Consider the following 21,918-nt stretch of genomic DNA (forward strand, 5'->3'; position numbering starts at 1 on the left):
CTCGGAGCCCCAGGGTACCCGGCCCCGCCCTGCCGGCTGGGAGCCTCCCAGCCGCGATCCTCCGGGGCGGGACTTCCGGCTTCCCTGCTCCCACAAAATGGTAGCCGCCGTGGGGGATGTCCAGTTTTTTTTCCTCTTCCCAAGTACAGACGCAGAGCAGACTTGTCTTTCCGCTTAACCTCAACCTCGTGTGATCTGCCAGTTTCGCTCCCGGTTAGCCCAGGACTTTTTATAGCATAGAGTTTTAAAGCAAGGGCTTAGAATCAGACCTGGGTCAAAATCCTGCCTTCCACCTTCACCAAGGCAGTGTGACCTTGACGTTCCTACATAAGAGATTAAAATGTAAACCCTTAGCCCTGAGCTTGTTTTAGAATCTGGGCCCCGTCCATGACTGCTTCTATTCTATTGCGGTACGGGGGTGGGGTGGGGGTGGGGAACTACATGCATGTCCACTCAGTATACTGAAACTGGTTACATTGATGGAAAACTTCCAAAGCTTCTTGAAATAAAGGTATTGAAACTATCCTCACAGGGTTTATAAGAATTCTGGACAAAAATATAATTAAGCATTAATCAGGCTACACTTTGACCCACTTCCTTGTAACCCGAAAGTCGGGTAGAGCTAGATAGTACATTTGTATCCCGTTGTCCCTATAGATAGGCTTTCTGATGTTAAGAGTCGTAAGGCTTTTTAAGAATTGCTTAAAATGTTTTTCAGACGCCAAATTCCAGCGAAACAGCTGATGCCAGCCAGCTTGAAGACCCCTGCCACAGAAGAAGGGAATCAGCATGAGAATACAGCTTCTTCATCTCGCTGTCCCATGACTTCGCCCTGTACTCTTCAGCCAATTAATGATCTCCACACTTGGGACCACTCTAAAACCCTTAAGAACCTGAGACTCAAAGTCCTCCTGGAGACGAATTTGAGGTTTCCTCCTATCTGTGTTTGGTGGCCCTATGATTAAACCTCTTTCTCTTCTGCAACCTGGTGTCCCAGTGTATTAACTTGCCATGGGCATCAGACAACAAACCTATATATAGTATCCCAAATATGGTGCTCCACTTTGAAACCTGAAGAAATCCTGCAATTGAGTTAGCCTTTTGAAATAAAAATTATTTCAAATTTTAAAATATTTATATATGTTTCCACTTAAGATATCTACAAGCATTTGTTTACAACCTTTTATCTTGCTTTGCATCTTAAACATTTCTGTATGGCAATTTCCGTGTCTTCCTATCATCTCGGCCATCTTAGTGCAAAGATACAAAATTGTGTGGCTTATTAAGAAAAATTACAGTAAGCTAAGGGTAGGTTAAAGGATCTGAAACTTAGCAGGAAAAATGAGCAGAAATTAAAGCTATAAAAGGCATGGATCCTGCTCCAGTTCTCTTTGCTTCTCCTTTGTTCTCTGTCTTCCTCACTTTTAACTGCCTTCTTTGTTTCCCTTGAACCTGACTACTTAAAAAAAAAATTGAAGATCTAAATTATCTCAAGGCTAAAAGGATTTTTGTTTAGGAAGTATGAAGATTAATTCAATTAAATAAATACTTATTGAGCATTGACTATCAGGGGAATACTGGAAGATAGGCCTGCAGAGGTAAGTTACGGTCAACCTGTAGGAGGTTCCTTGGGTTAGTTTGAACCTTATCCTTTGGCCACAGTAAAACATGTAACTTTTCTTTCCCCACAGGAACATGTCAGAATGATCACACTATTTGTGGGTGTGTAATCTGGAAGCTGTACCATGATTAGTTGAAAGAGAGACTGAAGGCAAGAAAAACAGTGTGGTGACTTGGAGAAGAACCAAGACATAAGGAAATGAAGACCTACTCTTGGGTGATGACAGTAAAAATAATGGAATAGGCCTGAGAGACAGGAAAAGGGAGAACTGATGAGACTCAGTTACTGATAGGGCTAAAGAGGAGGAAGGACAGGGCAAGGTGGCTCACGCCTGTAATCCCAGCACTTTGGGAGGCAAGGCAGGAAGATCACTTGAGCCCAGGAATTCAAGACCAGCCTGAGCAACATGACAAAACCCCATCTCTACAAAAAATACAAAAATTAGGCTGGGCGCAGTGGCCCAGGCCTGTAATCCCAGCACTTTGGGAGGCCGAGGTGGGTGGATCACCTGAGGTCAGGAGTTCGAGACCAGCCTGGCCAACATGGTGAAACCCCATCTCTACTAAAAATACAAAAATTAGCCGGGCGTGGTGGTGTGCGCCTGTAATCCCAGCTACTTGGGAGGCTGAGACAGGAGAATCGCTTGAACCCGGGAGGCAGAGGTTGCAGTGAGCTGAGATCGTGCCATTGCACTCCAGCCTGGTGACAGAGCAAAACTTGGTCTTTAAAAAAAAAAAAAATTAGCGGGGTGTGGTGGCACACACCTGTGGTTCCAGCAACCCAGGCAGCTGAGATGAGAAGATTGCTTGAGCCCAGGAGGCGAAGGCTGCAGTGAGCCAAGATCGCACCACTGCACTCCACCCAGAGCAACAGAGTGAGACCCTGTCTGAAAACGACAAAAAAAAAAGAGAGAGAGAGAGAAGGAAGGATTTAACAAGCTTATGTATTTCCTCATCCATTAAAATAAAGAAAAGAAATTGAGCTAGAGAGCTTCTAGTATCCTGTCCAGCCATAAAATTTCGTTGTTTTCTATTATTCTGTTACCTGAAAATGAAAGGAAGAACTATTTCAGTGGGAGAAGCAGTTTCAAGGAGAAAATAATGAATGTGGTTTTAGACCTCAAATCTAAAACCTTGAGAAATTTTCTAGTTCAGTTTTCTCTCTTGAAGTTATCATCCTCTCCATCTGAGACTCTAGGAGATTAAGCAGTTGGTCTAAGAACACTCAACTAGTCCATGACAGAGAATGAGAATAAAAGCCCCCCCGTCCTGTAAACAAACTTCTCATAAAGGCATCAGCACATGTATGTAGAGATTTCCGGTAGACCCCTAGGGAGAAAACAGAAAAGAGAGAGAAAGAGCAGAAATAAAGATATGGTTTGAGAAGACATCCGTACAGAATTGATGAAGTTTCTTGTGGAAACCTCATTGGTGAGGTTTCCTTCCACAGAGCAGCTTGTGGAAGGAAACTCTAAGAACAAAATGTAAACAAAGATGAAAGACTTCATTAAAAAGTCACCCTCAGAGAAGTAGTTACCAATGAACGCCACGAGAAACTAACTTAATTCCACTGCCATATCTGCTAATCATTCTGTGAGATGCTGACTTATTCTATACTATTAACTGGAAAAAATGAAGAAAAGCTAAAAGTAATGCAGAATAATGGAGGGAAAACTGTAAATTAATCATAACTTTCATTTACAAATAAGTGGGACCTATAAACTTCAAGCACACTGATATCCCGATTTCCCTCAAGTCCCGCTGATCAAAATTGACAGGAGAAACAAACCAAATGGTTTGATACAATGACAAAGGTCATGTAGGATATATGTTGAGGCAATATGATGTACATGTGGATTCCTGGTGAATTTTATCTTTTCCAAAATGAAGTACTTCTAATGTTTCTTTCTATGAAAGTAATAACAATGATAACATATTCAGATAATACAGAAAGGAATGAAGAAAGTGAAAATCATACCTATGGATAACTTCTTTAATATTATACCATATATGTATCATTTTATGCAAATATAGATTATTTAAGAAAAATAGGATTATACATATGATTTTCATACACATGATTTTAGTCACTTCTCATTTAGTAATACCTTTTTAATCCATAAACAATTTATTCATATAGATAGATTTATATCATTTTTAATGCCTATTAAATACTCCCTAGCGAAATTTTGAGGATGATCTTCTTCGAAAAAGTGGAAACTGGGCCATCTATAAAGTCTAATCAAAGTTGAGTAAAGCATAGAAAAATAAAAGAGAGTGACTTAAAATGTGCTGTTTGAACATGTCTAGTACGATGCCAGATTTTGTTTAAAAACTTTTAGTTTCTTTAAAACTCCCCTTCCCCTTCCCAATAGCATCATTTTCTCTTTAGGGATTCATGTTTCCAGAGAAGTTGACTTCACTCTCCCTTCAGAGATGATGTAACTAATGTAGGCTGTCCAATCAGTGTATTTCATCCCTTTGCACTTAATGATTAGTCAGGGTAGGCACTGATCCTGAAGTAGCTCAGCTGAATAATTTTCAGGACTTTTGCAGAGAATGCTGATCTTCTCTTTCTTGCTAGACAAGAGGAAGATGCCGACAGCCATTTTAGAACCATAAGAGAAGCCAGTCTTAGAATGGTGCAGAGACCAAGGTAGCCACAGCAGAGAGAAGGAAATAAACAGGGACCTTGATGACATATTGAGTTGTGGGGTCAAGCCCCACCTAAAGCAGCCTCACCGGTTGGCCTGTGGACTCTTCATTGATGTGTACCAATCAGTTTTCTTCATTGTTTAAACAAGTTTGAGTTGGGTTTTCTATTACTTAAAATCAAATGCATAGGAAAAATGCTAAAGGAAAATGCAACAGTAATTATCTCTGAGTGGTAAGAATACACATGATTTAAATTTTTTTTTTCTGTGCAGAAAAGTTTCCCTTTTTCTTGATAAAATTAATATACAAAGTATGTATTTTGGCTATATGAAAATCTTCTAAAACAAATTTTAAAACGATGATCGTTTATTAAACCAGGAATATATATGAAATCCACCCATAAAATAGAATGATTTAAGAGCATGGATATGATGCAGCCTATGACCTTAGAGAAGACAAAGGCCTTGCTTTTGTTGATCTTTGTATTCTCAGCATTTAGAATAGTGCTTTCCCTGACATATGGCAGGCATTCTGTAAATGGTTTTTGAATGATTTAATAAAACATAATTGCCTATCAGCTATCTAGGAAGTTGGATTGTAACTATGGGAAGTATTTGATACAAGCAACTGTGACATAGATCTTTTACAGTAACTGGATTTCTTGTTTCCAGCTTTTCACTTGGCCAAGTTTTATAGCTTTATTTAAATATTCCCCCTGGCTAGACACAGTGGCTCACACCTATAATCCCAGCACTTTGGAAGGCTGAGGTGGACAGATCATGTGAAGCCAGGCTGGCCAACAGGGTGAAACCCTGTCTCCACTAAAAATGCAAAAATTAGCTGGGTGTGATGGCGCGTGCCTGTAATCCCAGCTACTTGAGAGGCTGAGGCAGGCGAATTGCTTGAACCGGGGAGGCGAAGGTTGCAGTGAGCCAAGATCACGCCACTGCACTCCAGTCTGGGCGACAGAGCAAGACTTCATCTCAAATAAATAAATAAATAAATATTCCGCCAAATTGTTGACTCCTTTTTGTGATTGTAAATGCTAGAATTAAATAATTATTTCTGATCTGTCAAGTTAAAACCCTGAGTATTATCTTTTAATATACATATATATGTTTATGTGTGCATAAATATACGATAGCTTTTTTTTTCTTTCGATCTGCTACTGAAATATTCTCACAAAAGCAATAAAGTGGAACCTAAACATCTCACGTGGCTATTGATCTTGTTATTGACCCCAAGAAAGGCTCAAATGTGATTAAATGGGCAGAGGCTTTTGTCTAGGCCAGCACTTAAGAAGTTAAGCAGAGGCCGGGCGCGGTGGCTCACGCCTGTAATCCCAGCACTTTGGGAGGCCAAGGCAGACGGATCACTGAGGTCAGGAGTTCAAGACCAGCCTGGCCAACATGGTAAAACCCTGTCTCTACTAAAAATACAAAAATTAGCCAGGTGCAGTGGAACGCGCCTATAATCCCAGGTACTGGGGAGGCTGAGGCAGGAGAACTGCTTCAACTTGGGACACGGAGGTTGTGGTGAGCCCAGATCATGCCACTGCACTCCAGCTCGGGGGCCACAGAGCAAGACTCTGTCTAAAAAAAAAAAATGTTAAGCAGAAAAACAATGAAACCAGAACTAGCTTATGAAACTGAAAGTTAAATCGATGACTTACGTAAGATAGGCTGCAGAAATCATACAATAGAAGCATGGTAACTTTGGGGGCCGCACCAGTCTGTTTCAAGACTTAGCTTCTTGATACTTGTGGTTTTGTTTTGACCACTTTTTTTTTGAAAGGAGTTAGAGATCAGGAACATGAAGATGAAAAACAAAAAAATACACTTGTTCCTACTTCTGAATTGTTCATTTAAAAGTGGGCTCACTAACAAATTTATTTAATAGGCAGCCTTTAAAGAAATAATATTTTAACTGTGCAGAGCACTTTCTAATTTGAATAATGCCTAAGTTGAAAAACTAAAACTAACCAACATTGTAAAACACAAGCAGGAAGTGGAGAAATCTCAGATTTTAACCTTGACTTTAGATTAAGAATGTTTTTAGCTGATTCTAGTTAAAACATTTTCGAGTAAATAGCTAGCTCAAAAAAAGGCTATCACATCCTCAGCACAACAGTGAAGCACATACCTCAGGTGCATTCTTCCAGTAGAGGAAATTTTTCAGGGGTTCCAGTCTCCTTCCTTCCTTGAAGGGGCAGGTCCTCTATCTGTGTTGATTTCTGTAGTCTCTTCAGTATCAGAACAGTATTTGGTAGAATAGAAAGTAGAAACTTGATCAACTTTTGTTGCCCTACTAAATCTTACAATAGAGCTAAATAAGTTGGTGACATTTTTGTATTTAGAGAATCACTCAAAACAGAAACACCTGTTCTTTTTTTTTTTTTTTTTTCCTCGAGACAGTCTCACTCTGTCGCTCAGGCTGGAGTGCAGTGGCACGAGCACAGCTCACTGCAGCCTCAACGTCCCAGGATCAAGTCATCCTCCCACCTCAGCCTCCCGAGTAGCTAGGACCACAGGATGCACCACCACACCCGGCTACTTTTTGTATTTGTTTTTGTAGAGATGGGGTTTTGTCATGTTGGCCAGGCTGGTATGAAACTCTTGGGCTCAAGTGATTCGCCCACTTCAGCCTCCCAAAGTGCTGGTATTATAGGCATGAGCCACCACGCCGGGTCCCTGCTCTTTCTTAGACTGCTTCTTTCCGCTATTAACAAAAGTAACTGATAGAGAAGAATTATCAAAACTCAAGTGTCTACATGGCAGCAGAGGAACTAGACAATTTTTATAAATGACAGTGGCTGAAACAGGATAAATCATGGGGACTCATCATTGATATTACATAGACTAAATATGATAGTGTTCCATTAATTAATTCTACAAATATTTAAATGTTCTCAGAATTTCAAACATTATTTAGACTTTTCTTCACCTTAACTCTTATGTAAGCTTTCCCTAGACCTTCCCAAAAAGTTGAGACAGGAAAGGAAACTTAAGACTTCTGAAACACAAGAGCATTCACCAGGCCTACTCACTAAGAGGTCTGGACACTAGATTGGAGATTGTTACTCTTGGAGAACAACCTTGATAAAACTATGCTTCCCAGTGCAGTGTGAATTGGGGTCTCGGTCTCTATAGTCTATAGCTAATAGCATAATTAACTATATCAAGTCTGACCTATTATTAGTCCAAATGGCGTAACTCAAATCCTGTCCCATAGGTTTATTATACTCATATATTTTGGAGACAATAAGATGTTTATAGTAATGTTAAAACTTGAGGCCAGGCACAGTGGCTCACACCTGTAATGCCAGCACTTTGGGAGGCCAAGGCAGGAGGATTGCTTGAGCCCAGGAATTTAAGACCAGCCTGGGCAACAAAGTGAGCCCTCATCTCCACAAAAAATAAAATAATTAGCCGGGTGTGGGAGTGTATGCCTGTGTAGTCCCAGCTACTCGAGAGCCTGAGACAGGAGGATTGCTTGAGCCCAGGAGTTTGAGGATGCAGTGAGCTCTAATCGCATCACTGCACTCCAGCCTGAGTGACAGAGTGAGACCTTCCCTCTAAAAAAAAAAAAAAAAAAAGACAAAATTCCTAGAGGATTCTTAAAAATTTCCTTTCATATATTGTCTCAGTGGCTGGTCAAGGATTTGTTGTTGTTGTTGTTTTAACCCAATAGTCTTTGTCAAACCAAGAACTGGTATTGAAAATTTCAGCCCAACATTTGCCATAGTGAATAAATCATTTATCCTACAGGAAAAAGAAGATCAAATCTGAGGGCAATTGAAGCAGTTTTTAGAAATCTTCAAACCACAAGCAGACATCCCAGTGAAATTCAGAAGTCCTTGTCTGAATCTCTCTTCATAACCATTTTAGTCTCACCCATCCAGCCATGAGTGTCAAAAATTAGAGTCTGTAGGTAACGTTTGTCCAAAACCAGTTTGTCCAGATTTCCTCTGTTAACTTCTGAAGGTGGTAAGCAGGGAAGGAGCATGAGCTCTGTTACAGAGAACTTAGCCTGTGTGAAGGTTAGAGAGGAAAAAGCCTTCGTGGGATTAGCTAGACATTCCAAACAGTGTAGAACATCAGTAAGAGTAATAGCAAATTAACTGAAGAAGAGGCAGTTGTCTCCTCAGCACTCAGGGAAATAACAGAAGGTTTGTATCAGTCCCATTGAGGCTGGCGACCAATGGGAAGCTGTTGCTAAGGAGACGGCTGGTGCAAGGATTACTACAGGCAGGATGAAGGGAGGAGGGTATGGGTTTATGCATTTGCTCCCATTCCTTGTTTCCTCTTTTAGGCTTGATGTGCTTCCAGGCTCTCGATCATTCTTTCTCTTTCTCAGCATTTTCTCACTGTCTCAAGTCTTCTCATTTCATTGTTATTACATGCTAGGGACTTGGTGCTACCAGGCTACCTGCTTGCTCCATACATTATTTGTTCAACATGATTTGCATATATGGGTTACTGATCAAGAACCTAGGAAGGTCAAGTGAGCAAACAGATGGAAGAATAAGGGGGCGGGGACAGTCATAAAGATTGAGGGCTATTACAGATCATTCTACCAAAAGCTTAATCACAGTCAAGAATCCAAAAGTTCTGTCACAGTAGTTCTCAACTGGAGCTTCACACCAGAATCACAGGGGGAATATAATTTTTAAAAACATGGATGCCAGGGCCCAGCCAGACTTTACTCAATCAATGCCACAGGAATCAGGTCCAAGGCCTGTATTTTTTCCGCCAGATTCTGCAGATTATTCTATTGCAAATTCCTAGTTAAGAGCTTCTGATTTAGGGAATAAACCAGAAATTATGTCTTTTTTTTTTAAGAGACGAGGTCTTGCTTTGTCACCCAGGCTGGAGTGCAGTAGTGTGATCATAGCTCACTGCAGTTCCAAATTCCTGGGCTCAAGTAGTCCTCTCGCCTCAGCCTCGGAGTAGCTAGGTGTGCGCCACCACACCCAGCTAATTTTTTTTTTGTAGAGACAGCGTCTGGCTATGGTGACCAGACCGGTCTTAAACTCCTGACTTCAAGCAGTCCTCTTGCCTTGGCCTCCCAAAGTGTTGGGATTATAGGTGTAACCCACCATGGCCAGCCTGTAAGTCTGTCTTAAGAGTAAGTAGGAATATTTATCTTAGAGGAGGGCAAAAAAATTTTTCTATGGTCTCAGTGCTCATTGGGAGAAATATGTTTTCATCATTAAAAAAGGGCACATTGAGTCTGGCATTTTCCATTAGAAATCCATTTCAGTAACTGTTTTCCTATGACATTGTTCCTCATGTGAAACCCATTTCTTTTGATTTGCTCTTTGTGAAGAAAAACAAAACAAACCAGTTGGCTGTCTTCATTCCTTGTACATATACACCATGTCTTCACTATGATGTCATTTCCAAACCCCAGTTAGAAAGTTCACATTATAGGTAAAACTAGGTGAGGTAATATTCTGACACATTCAATAACTAAGCCAATACATTGAATGTGTTGTCGATTATGTAGTAAAACCCCAGTGTAGTCTTTTCACCATCTCTTAAAGCTTTGGTTTTTGAGAAACAATTATAATTCCTCTTATCTTTCTTCAGAGATGTTATTTTCTAAAATTTGGCTTTTTAATAATCTTTTCCTTTATAGTTTGTGCATTTGGTATCTTTTAAAGAAATCCTTCCTTGCATCAAGGTCATAATGATATTTACCTACGTTTTCTTCTAAAAGCTAAATGTTTTGTAAAATTGTTTTTCTTTGTATCATTTTTCAATTCTCATCTGTTATTAGAGCCCCACTCTAGATCCAGAATGTACAAAGTTTCTGTCCCACAGAGAATAATACTTCTGCAGCTCCTGCTAGAGTCTGGATCAAAAAACTCTCAATGTAGAATAAAGTGAAATAGGAGTGTTCAAAGAGATTTTAAAATTTATAAAATGTGGTAAAAGAAGATAGCAGATGGCTGGGTGTGGTGGCTTGCACCTGTAATCCTAGCACTTTGGAGGCCAAGGTGGGAGGATTGCTTGAGCCCAGGAGTTTGAGACCAGCCTTGGCAACACACTGAGACCCTGTCTCTATTTATTTAAAAAAAAAAAAAAAGGGCCAGGTGCGGTGGCTCACACCTGTAACTCACTTTGGAAGGCCAAGGCAGGTGGATTACTTGAGGTCAGGAGTTCTAGACCAGCCTGGCCAACATGGTGAAACCCTGTCTCTACTAAAAATACAAAAATTAGCTGGGCATGGTAGCACATGCCTGTAATCCCAGCTACTTGGGAGGCTGAGACAGAAGAATCACTTGAACCTGGAAGGTGGAGGTTGCAGTGAGCCAAGACCATGCCACTGCACTCCAGCCTGGGTGACAGAGCGAGACTCTGTCTCAAAAAAAGAAAAGGTAGCAGAGCAGTAAGAGCAGTATCAGCTAATGGAAATATAAATTATCTTAAAGCCAACCCTCCAGAGATACTGAAGAGATGAGGCCTTAAACCTTGAGAAGAGTGAGCAAATGCAGTATGTGTGGTCTAATGGCCAGTAGCCATGTTGTGGATAAACTTATCACATGTTTGTCAAATGTCTAGCACAGATATGCTTATCATATATTTGTCAAATATCTAGCAGGACCTTGAAGATGCCCTTGAAGAAAAGTCACTTCACAGTCCCATGTCATGGCTAATAAGTAGCCAACCACTCAGAGTGAGGTGAGGTGTTTCATTCCTGTAATCCCAGTAACTCAAGAGGCTAAGGCAGGAGGATCATTTGAGGCCAGGCGTTCAGGATCAGCATGGAAGACACAGTGAAGCCTTGTCTCCAAAAAACAAAGTCATCTCAAAGACAGAACTCTTTGGTGGTACACTCCTGTAGTCCTAGCTACTCAGGAGGCTGAAGTGGGAGGATCACTTGAGCCCAGCAGTTTGAGGCTGCAGCAAGCTATGATTGCACCACTGCACTCCAGTCTGGGTGACAGAGTGATGGTCTGTCTCCAAAAAAAATTAAATTAAAAAAAATTAAAAATAATATAAGAAAGAAATCCTTGGATACAGTTCCTAGGTGTCCCACACAGCTGAACCCTGCTATGGCTCCAGCCTCCCATGTCCACCTGCTCCCTTAGGTCCTTGGCTCAACTTTGGAACTGGTTGTTGCACTTTGGGCTCCAGCCCTTGTGCCGCTCTGTGAATATCTATCACCTCCTGTCTTCTGCCTGCCCCAGTGGTGCTGCTCTATTATTGACTTGGCTCACTTGTACACTCAGAATCAGAGGGACTTCGTGATCCCTAATATCACCTCAAGCTGATACGAGTAAGCTTCTAGCCTTACCTGACCCGCTGTTACCTGGTGGAGACTATTGCTTGTACTGGTAAAGCCAAACCATTATGAGAGCTCCACATACTCAAATGGTCTTGATGACAGTCCTCTAGCAAAGGAGGCATTTCCATAGATACGAAATCATCTGTTTTCAAAGGTGTGACCTGTGTTAGGCTACCCTGGGCTGAGTAGGCCCATCCTTTGTAGGAAGACCTATTTTCCTCCCACCAAGTGACTCTGATAGTTTGGTGGGTTCGAGGGATGATTCCCCTCCTCACCAGCAACCGACTTCCCTGCTGTCCACTATAAGAAGTGTTACTTCTGGCTGGGTGCGGTGGCTCATGCCTGTAATAGTAGCTCTTTGGGAGGCCGAGGCGGGTGGATCACCTGACTTCAAGAGTTTGGGACCAGTCTGGCCTACGTGGTGAAACCCCGCCTCTACTAAAAATACAAAAATTAGCTGGGCGTGGTGGCACCTGCCTGTAATCCCAGCTACTGGGGAGGCTGAGGCAGGAGAATCTCCTGAACCCAGGGGGCGGAGGTTGCAGTGAGCCAAGATCGTACCACTATACTCCAGCGTGGGCAACAGAGTGAGACTCCATCTCAAAAAAAAAAAAAAAAAGAAATGTTACTTCTCTTCTGTCACTGCAACCCTGCCCAGGACTGCCTGGGCCTCTGGACGTGGGAGTGAACTGACAGTGCTGGCTCAGCTGCCTCGGCTGGCAGGGCAGATGGCCCTTTCCTTCCTCACTATTTTGTGTACTTTCCCCCAAAGTTTACCTCCTCAATAAAAAGGCACTGCCTGACAAGCTTTCCTTTCTGCCACTTCCAAATTCTCTCTGCCCTGGAATAGCCAAGGAATCTCACACAGTCAGGCTCTGACATCTTGGATCCCCTAAAATCATTGCCTGTGGGCTCTCCTTTGTGCCATGCTGCAAACTCCCCAGTGGTTAGCATTCTACATGGAAGCAAAATTTGTGCCTGGAGAAATCTCGGGCCATAGGTCTGACCTGTCACCAGGGTCCCTGTAGCAGCGTAGGGCCCTGGCCACCATAACAGCCACTGAAACTTTGCTTCAAGAATTATAGGTGTAGAGGACTCTCCTCCTGCTTCCTTAAGTCCCAGTGGACTACTAGCACTCCTGGTGTTTCTTCTCTGAAGGTAAACCTTGTAAACCAACAAGTATCTCAGAGACGTCTCCATCAGTTTAGAGGCTTATTTTGCAAATATTAAGGACCATGGTCTGTGACACAGCCTCAGGAGGTCCTGAGAACATGTGCCCAAGGTGGTTTGGTTACCGCTCAGTTTTATGCATTTTAGGGAGACAGAAGTTACAAGTTAAAAACATAAATCAATACATGGAAGGTATATATTTGTTTGGCCTGGAAAGGCAGAACATCTTGAATGAGGTGGCTTCCAGGTTATAGGTGGATTCAAAGATTTCCTGACTGGCAATTCGTTGAGAAGTTAAGCTTCACCCCTTAAGAGTTTGAAGTCAGCATAAAGAAATTCTTGAGTTAAGATAAGAGGAGTTGTGGAAGCCAAGGTTCTGGTCATGTAGATGAAGCCTCCAGGTAGCAGGCTTCAGAGAGAATAGATGGTAAATGTCTCTTATTGGACCTTAAAGGCATCAATCTTTCTGGAAAAGACCTAGTTATGGAAGGAGATTCTCTACAGAAGACACATTTCCCACAAGAGACAGCTTTGCAGGGCCATTACAAAATTTGTCAAAGAAATATATTTTGGGGTGAAATACTTTGCTTTCCTTCAGGGCCTGTGATCTGCCATGGGATGCTATACCAGAGTCCAGTTGGAATTTGGTATCTTACTGCTACAGTCTGTTGTCAGTCTTTTGAGTTAGTGCTGGTCAGTTGTGCCTAAACTCAAAAGGCAGGAGGGTAAAAGAAGGTGTATCCAGCTTTGCCATTCCCATCATGGCATGAAGTAGTTTTTCAGGTTTCTTTGGGATCCTGTTGGCCAACAGAAGGGTCTATTTAGCCAACTGGGGTGCTTAGAATTTTATTTTTGGTTTCCATTCTCCCCTTTCTGGCCAAGATTTGCCAGAAGCACCATCAATGGCCAAACTTTTATTTTGTTGCGCATTGTTGCCACGGCGGTGTGGCCACCTGACCTGCACCCATCCTGTCCCTTGCTGGGACCTCCATAGCCAAGACACTTAGATCTAAAAGACTCATAGTCAATTCAAGCATTCTAGGCCAGGCAGGAATGGAGGTGGGCAGGCGTTCATCAAACCTTTAAAATCTTCTAAGTAATATAAGAGTCAAAAAGCCGAAAGGCAAGTTTACAGAACTGATTTATCTATAAATTTTATGCATTGAGCTACTGCAGTCTTGGTTTTAGTTACAGACTTGTAGCAATTAGCTATACAGAACATAAGCATTTTGTTAAAACCATTTAAACTAGAGAGTTTAGAGACTTTGTTGTATTGCAACACTTTTTGCAGTCTTTTTAGTAATTTGTTCTAAGATGGCTAATAAAAAAATAATAAGATCTCCCCAGGCACAAAAACTATACATAATTATATCTGTCTATCTTCATAAATCTCATAACTGGGAGCACTATACCCAGGAAGCTTTTTGTCAGTTGATATCCTCTCTGCAATTTTCTTTTAACTCTACTGGAAGTAGGAAATTCTTTATGGTTGGGGTAGATGGAAATGGGCCACAGAATGACCCAGGAGGAAAAGTCTCTCATTTTGTCAGCTGTTTAGGCATCTGCATACCCACCCTTGATGTGGAGGTTCTGAACTAATTCTGTCCCTCATAATCCATACTTACAATCCCACATGCCCACTGCTTCCGCAGTAATCCCTGCCTAGAGGGAAGGTGCTTATATTTCCCCTAGAGGTAAGTTTTAGCAGTGGGACATTAGCAATGAAAGTAGATTCAGCCCAGTGGGATTCTAAATAAGTTTTAAATTTTGGAGCTTTCAGGTACAGAGAGAAAGGTAGTATTTGTTGCTTTACCCAATTTTGTAAGCTATAAATAGCTCAAAAAGAAAAAGGGGTTTTTCGTGGTTTTCCCATCCACTGCAGTGTTGGACCATAATCATGGTGGACATGATGGAGTTGCCCAGGTTGCGCATCAACGCTGGCACGCTAGCTCAGTTCATCGATAAGCCTGTCTGCTTCGTAGGGAGGCTGGAAAAGATTCATCCCACTGGAAAAATGTTTGTTCTTTTAGATGGAGAAGGAAAAAATGGAACCATCAAACTGATGGAACCCCTTGATGAAGAAATCTCTGGAATTATGGAAGTGGTTGGAAGAGTAACCGCTAAGGCCACCATCATGTGTAAACTTATGTCCAGTTTAAAGAGGTAACCATCCTTTTGATCTTGGACTTTACAATGAAGCTGTGAAAATTATCCATGAGTTTCCTCAGTTTTATCCTTTAGGGATTGTGCATCATAATTGATCTTGATGGATTTTCATATGATTGCAAATGAGCTATATTAAAGACTATTAAAGGAAGCCCCTCTTGTTTGAGGGAGAGATTTCTGTGCTTTCTCATATTTAATTTGCTCTTTTTAAGGTATTCCAGCCTAGAGTTTTTGATGGAACTGATATATTGACAGGTCTCACCTAAGTCCTTTTATAAAGAATTGCTACTCCAATTTATGGTCAGATTATATGCAAGAACAAAGCAGTTGTCTGAGTTTAGGTTTCTATTTTATTAATAAAAACTAAAATGGTAAAGAAAAGAAAAGAAAAGAAAAAGCGGTTTTTGTTTGTCTGTTTTTTCTACTGTGGAAAACAAAACAAAAGGACATAAGCCCTGCCTGGCTCTGACAATGACAGGAAAGGGAAACTGACAAACAACAAGTAAACATTTAAATTATCTAATATTAAGGCACAGAACAATGATTTTAATTTGGATAGAGGACTGTTGCCAGGCTGGAGTGCAGTGGCGCAATCTCAGCTCACTGCAATCTCTGCCTCCTGGATTCAAGTGATTCTCCTGTCTCAGCCACCTGAGTAGCTGGGATTACAGGCGTGTGCCACCACACCTGGTTAATTTTTGTATTTTTAGTAGAGACGGGATTTCACATGTTGGCCGGGATGGTCTTGATCTTCTGACCTCATGATCCGCCCGCCTTGGCCTCCCAAAGTGTTGGGATTACAGGCGTGAGCCATCGCACCCAGCCGAGGAAAAATTATTAAATCAGTATTTATGCTTTTGAATATAGGTCTTGTCCAGTGTGATTTAAAAAAATTTTTTAGCTGAATTAAATTTAAGAGTTTAATTGAGCAATGAATGATTCACGAATCAGGCAACCTCATGAGATAGGCTCTGAGACTGCAGCACAGCCACGTGGTGGAAGAAGATTTATGGACAGAAAAAGTAAGGTGATGCACAGAAAATACAAGTGAGGTAGAGAAAAAGCTGGATTGGTTACAGGTTGGCATTTGCCTTATTTGAACAGTTGGCCTTATTTGAACAGTTGAACAGTTGGTTACATCTGATTGCCCAAAACTCGGTGATTGGCACAAGTATAGGCTACAGTCTGTTTATACCTCTGTTTGTTCACAATATACAGAGAAACCTTTAGGCCAAACTTAAAATATGTAAGGAGGCAGCTTTAGGCTAAACTTGTTTTAACAAGTGTAACATGAAAGTGGTTTCTTTTGGCTGTTACCATCTCTCAGGTCTGAGGATGAGGTTTTGGTTAAATTAAGTTTGCTGCCAGATAACAGTATTGACATTTAAGATTTACTAGGAGTCAAGTGTTCCTTTGAGATGACATAGGAGTACCTAGGAGTCACACCCCTTCAACTTAACAGCACAAGAGCTAGTTAACATATTTGATAAAGACCCTATTTAATGGGAATGGAGGGAATCTCTCAACTGATGTCTAATCATCAGGCTGGAGGTGATGATACTAAAGTTTATCTTAATTGGAAGCTATAGAAAGATTCTATAACCTTGGGGTGATTTTTATAGTTCTGATAAGGTCCCAGCAATAAATCTAAGTCAGAGGCTTAAGTTAGGATTTGATTTTTGAGACTGTTTGTCAAAAAATGTTAAAAGACTCAAAACATTTTATTGAAACAGAATCACGGGTCATTATAAAATAATAGTTATTCACTTAACCAGAGTGATAATAAAAAGACTTTATTTTTATTGTTATTATTTTTGAGACAGTCTTACTCTGTTGCCCAGGCTGGAGTGCAGTGACCTAATCTTGGCTCACTGCAACCTCTGCCTCCCTGGTTCAAGGGATCCTCCTGCCTCAGCCTCCTGAGTAGGTGGGTTTACAGGTTCACGCCACCACGCCCAGCTATTTTTGTGTTTTTAGTAGAGATGGGGTTTCACTATGTTTCCCAGGCTGGTCTCAAACTCCTGGCCCCAAGTGATCCACACACCTTGGCCTACCAGAGTGCTGGGATTACAGGCGTGAGCCACCGAGCTGGCCAAAAGACTTTAAAAGCTGTATAGGAAGTTATATGGATGTAAAAACCTTAACTCTTTTAAAGTTTAGTTTTTAAGAGTAATTTTAGGACGGGTGCGGTGGCTCATGCCTGTAATCCCAGCACGTTGGGAGGCCAAGATGGGCAGATCACGAAGTCAGGAGATTGAGACCATCCTGGCTAACACAGTGAAACCCTGCCTCTATTAAAAAAAAAAAAAAAAATTAGCCGGGCTTGGTGGCGGTCACCTGTAGTCCCAGCCACTCGGGAGGCTGAGGCAGGAGAATGGCGTGAACCCGGGAGGTGGAGGTTGCAGTGAGCTGAGATCACACCACTGCCCTCCAGCCTGGGTGACAGAGCGAGACTCTGTCTCAAGAAAAAAAATAAATAAAAAATAAGTAATTTTTAAAAACCTGATAAAAACAACATAGAAATTATCTTAAAATTTTTGTTTCTTAGGCTAGTTGCCAAAAAGGAGGAAAAAAAACCTCTTCTACAGTGATTGTTTTTCCTTATGGGAAGCCCATTTGGATAACCTGAATGTCAGACTTGCTGAAAAGATAAATTAATCAGACACACAGAAAGAGTGTGTCCCAGGTTGAGTGACCACTATATTACAGAGGCCTTGAGGGGGGAAATATGTGACTCTTAGCTACAGCATGGGAAGTTGTCTGGTTATGTTGACCACTTTAGACGTATCTTGGGCTTCAGAAAACAATACCCCAAAATGATAACTGTGAACCCAGAAAATCTGAGACAGGCTCAGTTAATTTAGAAAGTTTATTTTGCCAAGGTTGAGGACCTGCCCATGACGCAGCCTCAGGAAGTCCTGACGACATGTGCCCAAGGTGGTCAGGGCACAGCTTGTTTTTACACATTTTAGGGAGGCATGAGACATCAATCAATGTAAGTAAGAAGTAGGAAGTTGCTTGGAAAGGCAACTTGAAGCAAAGGCAGGAGGACCGGAAGTCCGGAGGGAGCTTCCAGGTCACAGATAGTTGAGACACAAATGGTTGCATTCTTCTGAGTTTCTGACTGGCCTTTCCAAAAGAGGCAGTCAGATATGCACCTATGTCAGTGAGCAGAGGGATGACTTTGAATAGAATGGGAGGCAGGTTTTGCCCTAAGCAGTTTCCAGCTTGAGTTTGCCTTAGAGATTGTGGGCGGCCATGGTATCTTCCTTTCACATAACCAAAGGAGCAGCCTCAGAAGTAAAAGTTTCTCTTTGGCCTTCTCCTGCCCTCCTGTTTCTCAGTCCCATTTTCCCTTTAGGCTGGCTATAGAAACTAGAATCTTTCTTCCCCAAGGTGGGCCCCAGAAACCACAGCCCATTTTCATCAAAGCCAGCCATAACACTTAAAAATATTCCTCTAATTTTTTCTCCACTTTACTGTGTGAAAACTGGCCATGAAGAAATTCTCTGAACTTCCTTGTTGGACTATAGGTTATAAGACCCCTACACCCAGAAGGATGGAAATGCATACTCAGGGAGGTGAAGAAGAATCTAGGCAGACAGGCCTTGCTCCTTTCCCCACACAGTCTACTAGCGTTCAATTGTATCTGTAGTTTTTTACAAGGCTGTTCATACTTTGTTGAACCTAAGCATAAAAATGAACAATTTTCCCTGTATCTTGGGTCTTTACTCTGAAGATTGTCACATATATATGCCAAACAAATCTATACGCTTTCTCTTCAACCAATCTGTCTTTTGTGAGTTGATTTTTTTCAGCAAACCTTTGGGGGGGCCCTTGGCCCCTAAATATGTTAGAAAAAGCCAAGAGTACAGAATTAAGTTATACTGGAGGAAAATATGGCCTTCTTTTTTTAATTATTATTTTTTAATTTTTAATTTTTTTGAGACAGGATCTTGCTCCATCACCCAGACTGGAGTGCAGTGGCGCAATCTTGGCTCACTGCATTCTTGACCTCATGGGCTCAAGCAATTCTCCCACCTCAGCCTCTTGAGTAGCTGGGACTACAGGCGTGTGTCACCATGCCTGGCTAATTTTTTTAAAAAAAATTTTCTGTAGAGATCAGTGTTACTATGCTGCCCTTGCTGGCCTTGAACTCCTGGGCTAAAGCATTTCTCCTGCCTTGGCCTCCCACAATGGCTGGGATTACAGATGTGAACCACTATGCCCAAAATATTGCCTTCTTTAAAAACTTTCAAGATAAAACATTTTACATCAGGCCATAAAAACAGATTTAGAACTGGAGGAAAAAGAAAAAAAAAAAAGTCACAGAAGCCAACAAAATTTGAAGGAGAGCATTACCATCCTAGGCCTTTCCAAAGGGATAAAAAGCTGAAAGCAGCAGAGTATGGCAGAAGGTGAACTTCTGAGATATCAATCTGAGAAATTTTAAAAAGAAGCAGATTAGGGAAGTCGAGCAAGATGGTCAAATAGAAGCATCCAATGATTATCCCTCTCACAATCCCCTGCAGGAACAACAAATTGAACAACTATCCACATAAGAACACCTTCATAAGAACCAAAAATCAGGTGAGTAATTATAGTGCCTGGTTTTAACACCATATTAAAGAAAGAAGCACTGAAGAGGGTAGGAGAAACAGCCTTGAATCACCTACATCACCCTTACTTCATCCCCTGGCAGTGCATAGAGAGACCCTGTGCATCTGGAAGAGAGAAAGCACAGCGAGTGTCGGGGGCTTTGCATTGGAACCCAGTGCTGCCCTGTCATAGTGGAAAGCAACATGGGGCAAAACTCAGCTGGCACCCACAAAGGGAGCATTCAGACTAGCCCTAGCCAGAGGCAAATCATCCATCCTAGTGGTGGGAACCTGAGTTCTGGCAAGCCCTGCCATTATGAGCTAAAATGCTCTGGGGTCCTAAATAAACATGAAAGGCAGTTTAGGTCACAGGACCTCAATTCCCAGGCAAGGCCTGGGCTGTGCTGGCTTCAGGTCTGACCTAGCACTGTCCCATTAGTGGTGACCACAGGGGTGCTTGTGTCCACCCTCCCCCAGCTCTAAGCAGTCAGCTGAGAGAGAGAGACTTCATTTGTTTGGGGGAAAGTAGGGGAAGAGAGGAAGAGTCTCTGCCTATTGATCCAGGGAACTCTCCTGGATCTTACCCAGGTGTTGTGCTGGGCTCAGAGCCAGGAGACTTAGGAGACACACAACCCAGTGAGATACCAGCTGGGGCAGCGAAGGGAGTGTTTGCATCACCACTCCCCCAGCCCCAGGCAGTGCAGCTCACAGCTCCAACAGAGACTCCTTCCCATTGCTTGAGGAGAGAAGAGGGGAGAGTATAGAGGACTTTGTCTTATAACTTGGATACCAGCTCAGCCACAGTAGAATAGGGCAACAGGCAGAGTCCTGAAGCCTGCATTCCAGTCTCTAGCTCCCAGACAACATTTCTAAACACACCCTGGGCCAGAAGGAACCTACTGCCTAGAAAGGAAGGATCCAGTCCTGGCAGGATTCATCACCTGCTGACTATAGAGTCCCTGGACCCTGAATAAGCAGCAGCAGTAGCTAGGTAGTACTCTCTGCAGGCCTTGGGTGAGACTCAGAGCTGTGCTGGCTTCAGGTGTGACCCAGCACATTCCCAGCTATGGTGGCTATGGAGAGAGATCCCTTCTGCTTGAGGAAAGGAGAGGGAAGAGTAAAGAGGATTTTGTCTTACAGCATGAGTACCAGCTCAGCCACAGTTGGGTAGAGCACCAAGTGGACTCCTGCGGTCGCTGATTCTAGGCCTTGGCTCTTGGACGGCATTTCTGGACCTGCCCTAGGCCAAAGGGACCACACTGTCCTAAAAGGAGAGACTAAGGACTGGCAGAATTCACCACAAGCTGACTGAAGAGCCCTTGGGCCTTGAGTGAACATGGTGGTAGCCTGGCAGTGCTTGCCATGGGCCTGGGAGTGAGTGGGCTATGGTGGCCATGGTGAGAGACTCCTCTTCTTGAAGTAAGGGGAGGGAGATGTGGAAAGGACTTTGTCCTGTGGCTTGGGTGCCAGCTCAGCCACAGTAGAGTAGAGCACAAGGTAGATTTCTAAGGTTCCCAACTCCAGACCCTGGCTCCCAGACAGCATCTCTGGACCCACCGGGAACAAGGGGAACTCACTGCCCTGGAGGGAAGAACACAAGCCTAGTTGGCTTTGCCACCTGATGATTGTAGGGCCCTTGGTGCTTGAGTAAACACAGGCAGTAGCCAGGCAGTGGTCACTGCAGGCCTTGGGTGAGACCTAGGGCTGTGCTGGCTTCAGGTCTGACCCAGCACTGTCCCAGTGGTGGTGACCACAGGAGTGCTTGTGTCAACCCTCCCCCAGCTCTAAGCAGTCAGCTGAGAGAGAGAGAGATACTTCACTTGTTTGGGGGAAAGTAAGGGAAGAGAGGAAGAGTCTCTGCCTACTAATCCAGGGAACTCTCCTGGATCTTACCCAAGACTACCAAGGCAGTACCTCTATGAGTTTGCAAGAGCCACAGCATTGCTGGGCTTTAAGTGCCTGCTAAAGCAGATATGGCTGCAGTGACCAAAGACTTAGATCACAACATTCAAGTCCCTTTGAATACCTGGAAAGCCCTCCTAAGAAGGATGGGTACACACAAGCCCAGACTGCAAAGACTATAATAAAAACCTAACTCTTCAATGCTCAGACACTGACAAACATCCACAAGCATCAAGACCGTACAGGAAAACATGACCAAACGAAGTAAGCAAGTCACGAGAGACAAATCCCAGAGAGACAGAGATATGTGACCTTTCAGACAAAGAATTCGAAATAGCTGTTTTGGTGACGTTTAACAAAATCCAAGATAACAGAGAGAAGGAATTTAGAATCCTATCAGATAAATGTAACAGATTGAAATAATTAAAAAAGAGTCAGACTGGATGCAGTGGCTCATGTCTGTAATCCCAGAACTCTGGGAGGCTGAGGTGGGTAGATCACATGAGCCCAGGAG

General features: G+C 42.6%; 1 long non-coding RNA gene and 1 pseudogene across 3 annotated transcripts, besides 1 other annotated feature; both read left to right on the plus strand.

Moving 5' to 3' along the window:
* The first annotated feature begins 71 nt into the window (after positions 1–71).
* Positions 72–5,486, plus strand: GPR155-DT (GPR155 divergent transcript). Of its 3 annotated transcripts, none has more exons than NR_183818.1 (3): positions 72–511; positions 719–1,598; positions 1,692–5,486. It is a non-coding gene; the product is annotated as a GPR155 divergent transcript (long non-coding RNA). The 3 variants fall into 3 exon arrangements; NR_183817.1 differs by having other exon boundaries at positions 72–213; NR_183819.1 differs by having other exon boundaries at positions 72–100.
* Positions 2,504–2,603: an enhancer, noted in NCBI's record as "active region_16774". NCBI's record gives its function as "activates an Ori minimal core promoter by ATAC-STARR-seq in GM12878 lymphoblastoid cells {active_cell/tissue: GM12878}" and the evidence as "EXISTENCE:reporter gene assay evidence [ECO:0000049][PMID:35858748]".
* RPA3P1 (RPA3 pseudogene 1) lies at positions 14,598–15,196 on the plus strand (annotated as a pseudogene).
* Positions 15,197–21,918: the final 6,722 nt, after the last annotated feature.

Source organism: Homo sapiens, chromosome 2, assembly GCF_000001405.40.
Source record: "Homo sapiens chromosome 2, GRCh38.p14 Primary Assembly".
Lineage (NCBI taxonomy): Eukaryota > Metazoa > Chordata > Mammalia > Primates > Hominidae > Homo > Homo sapiens.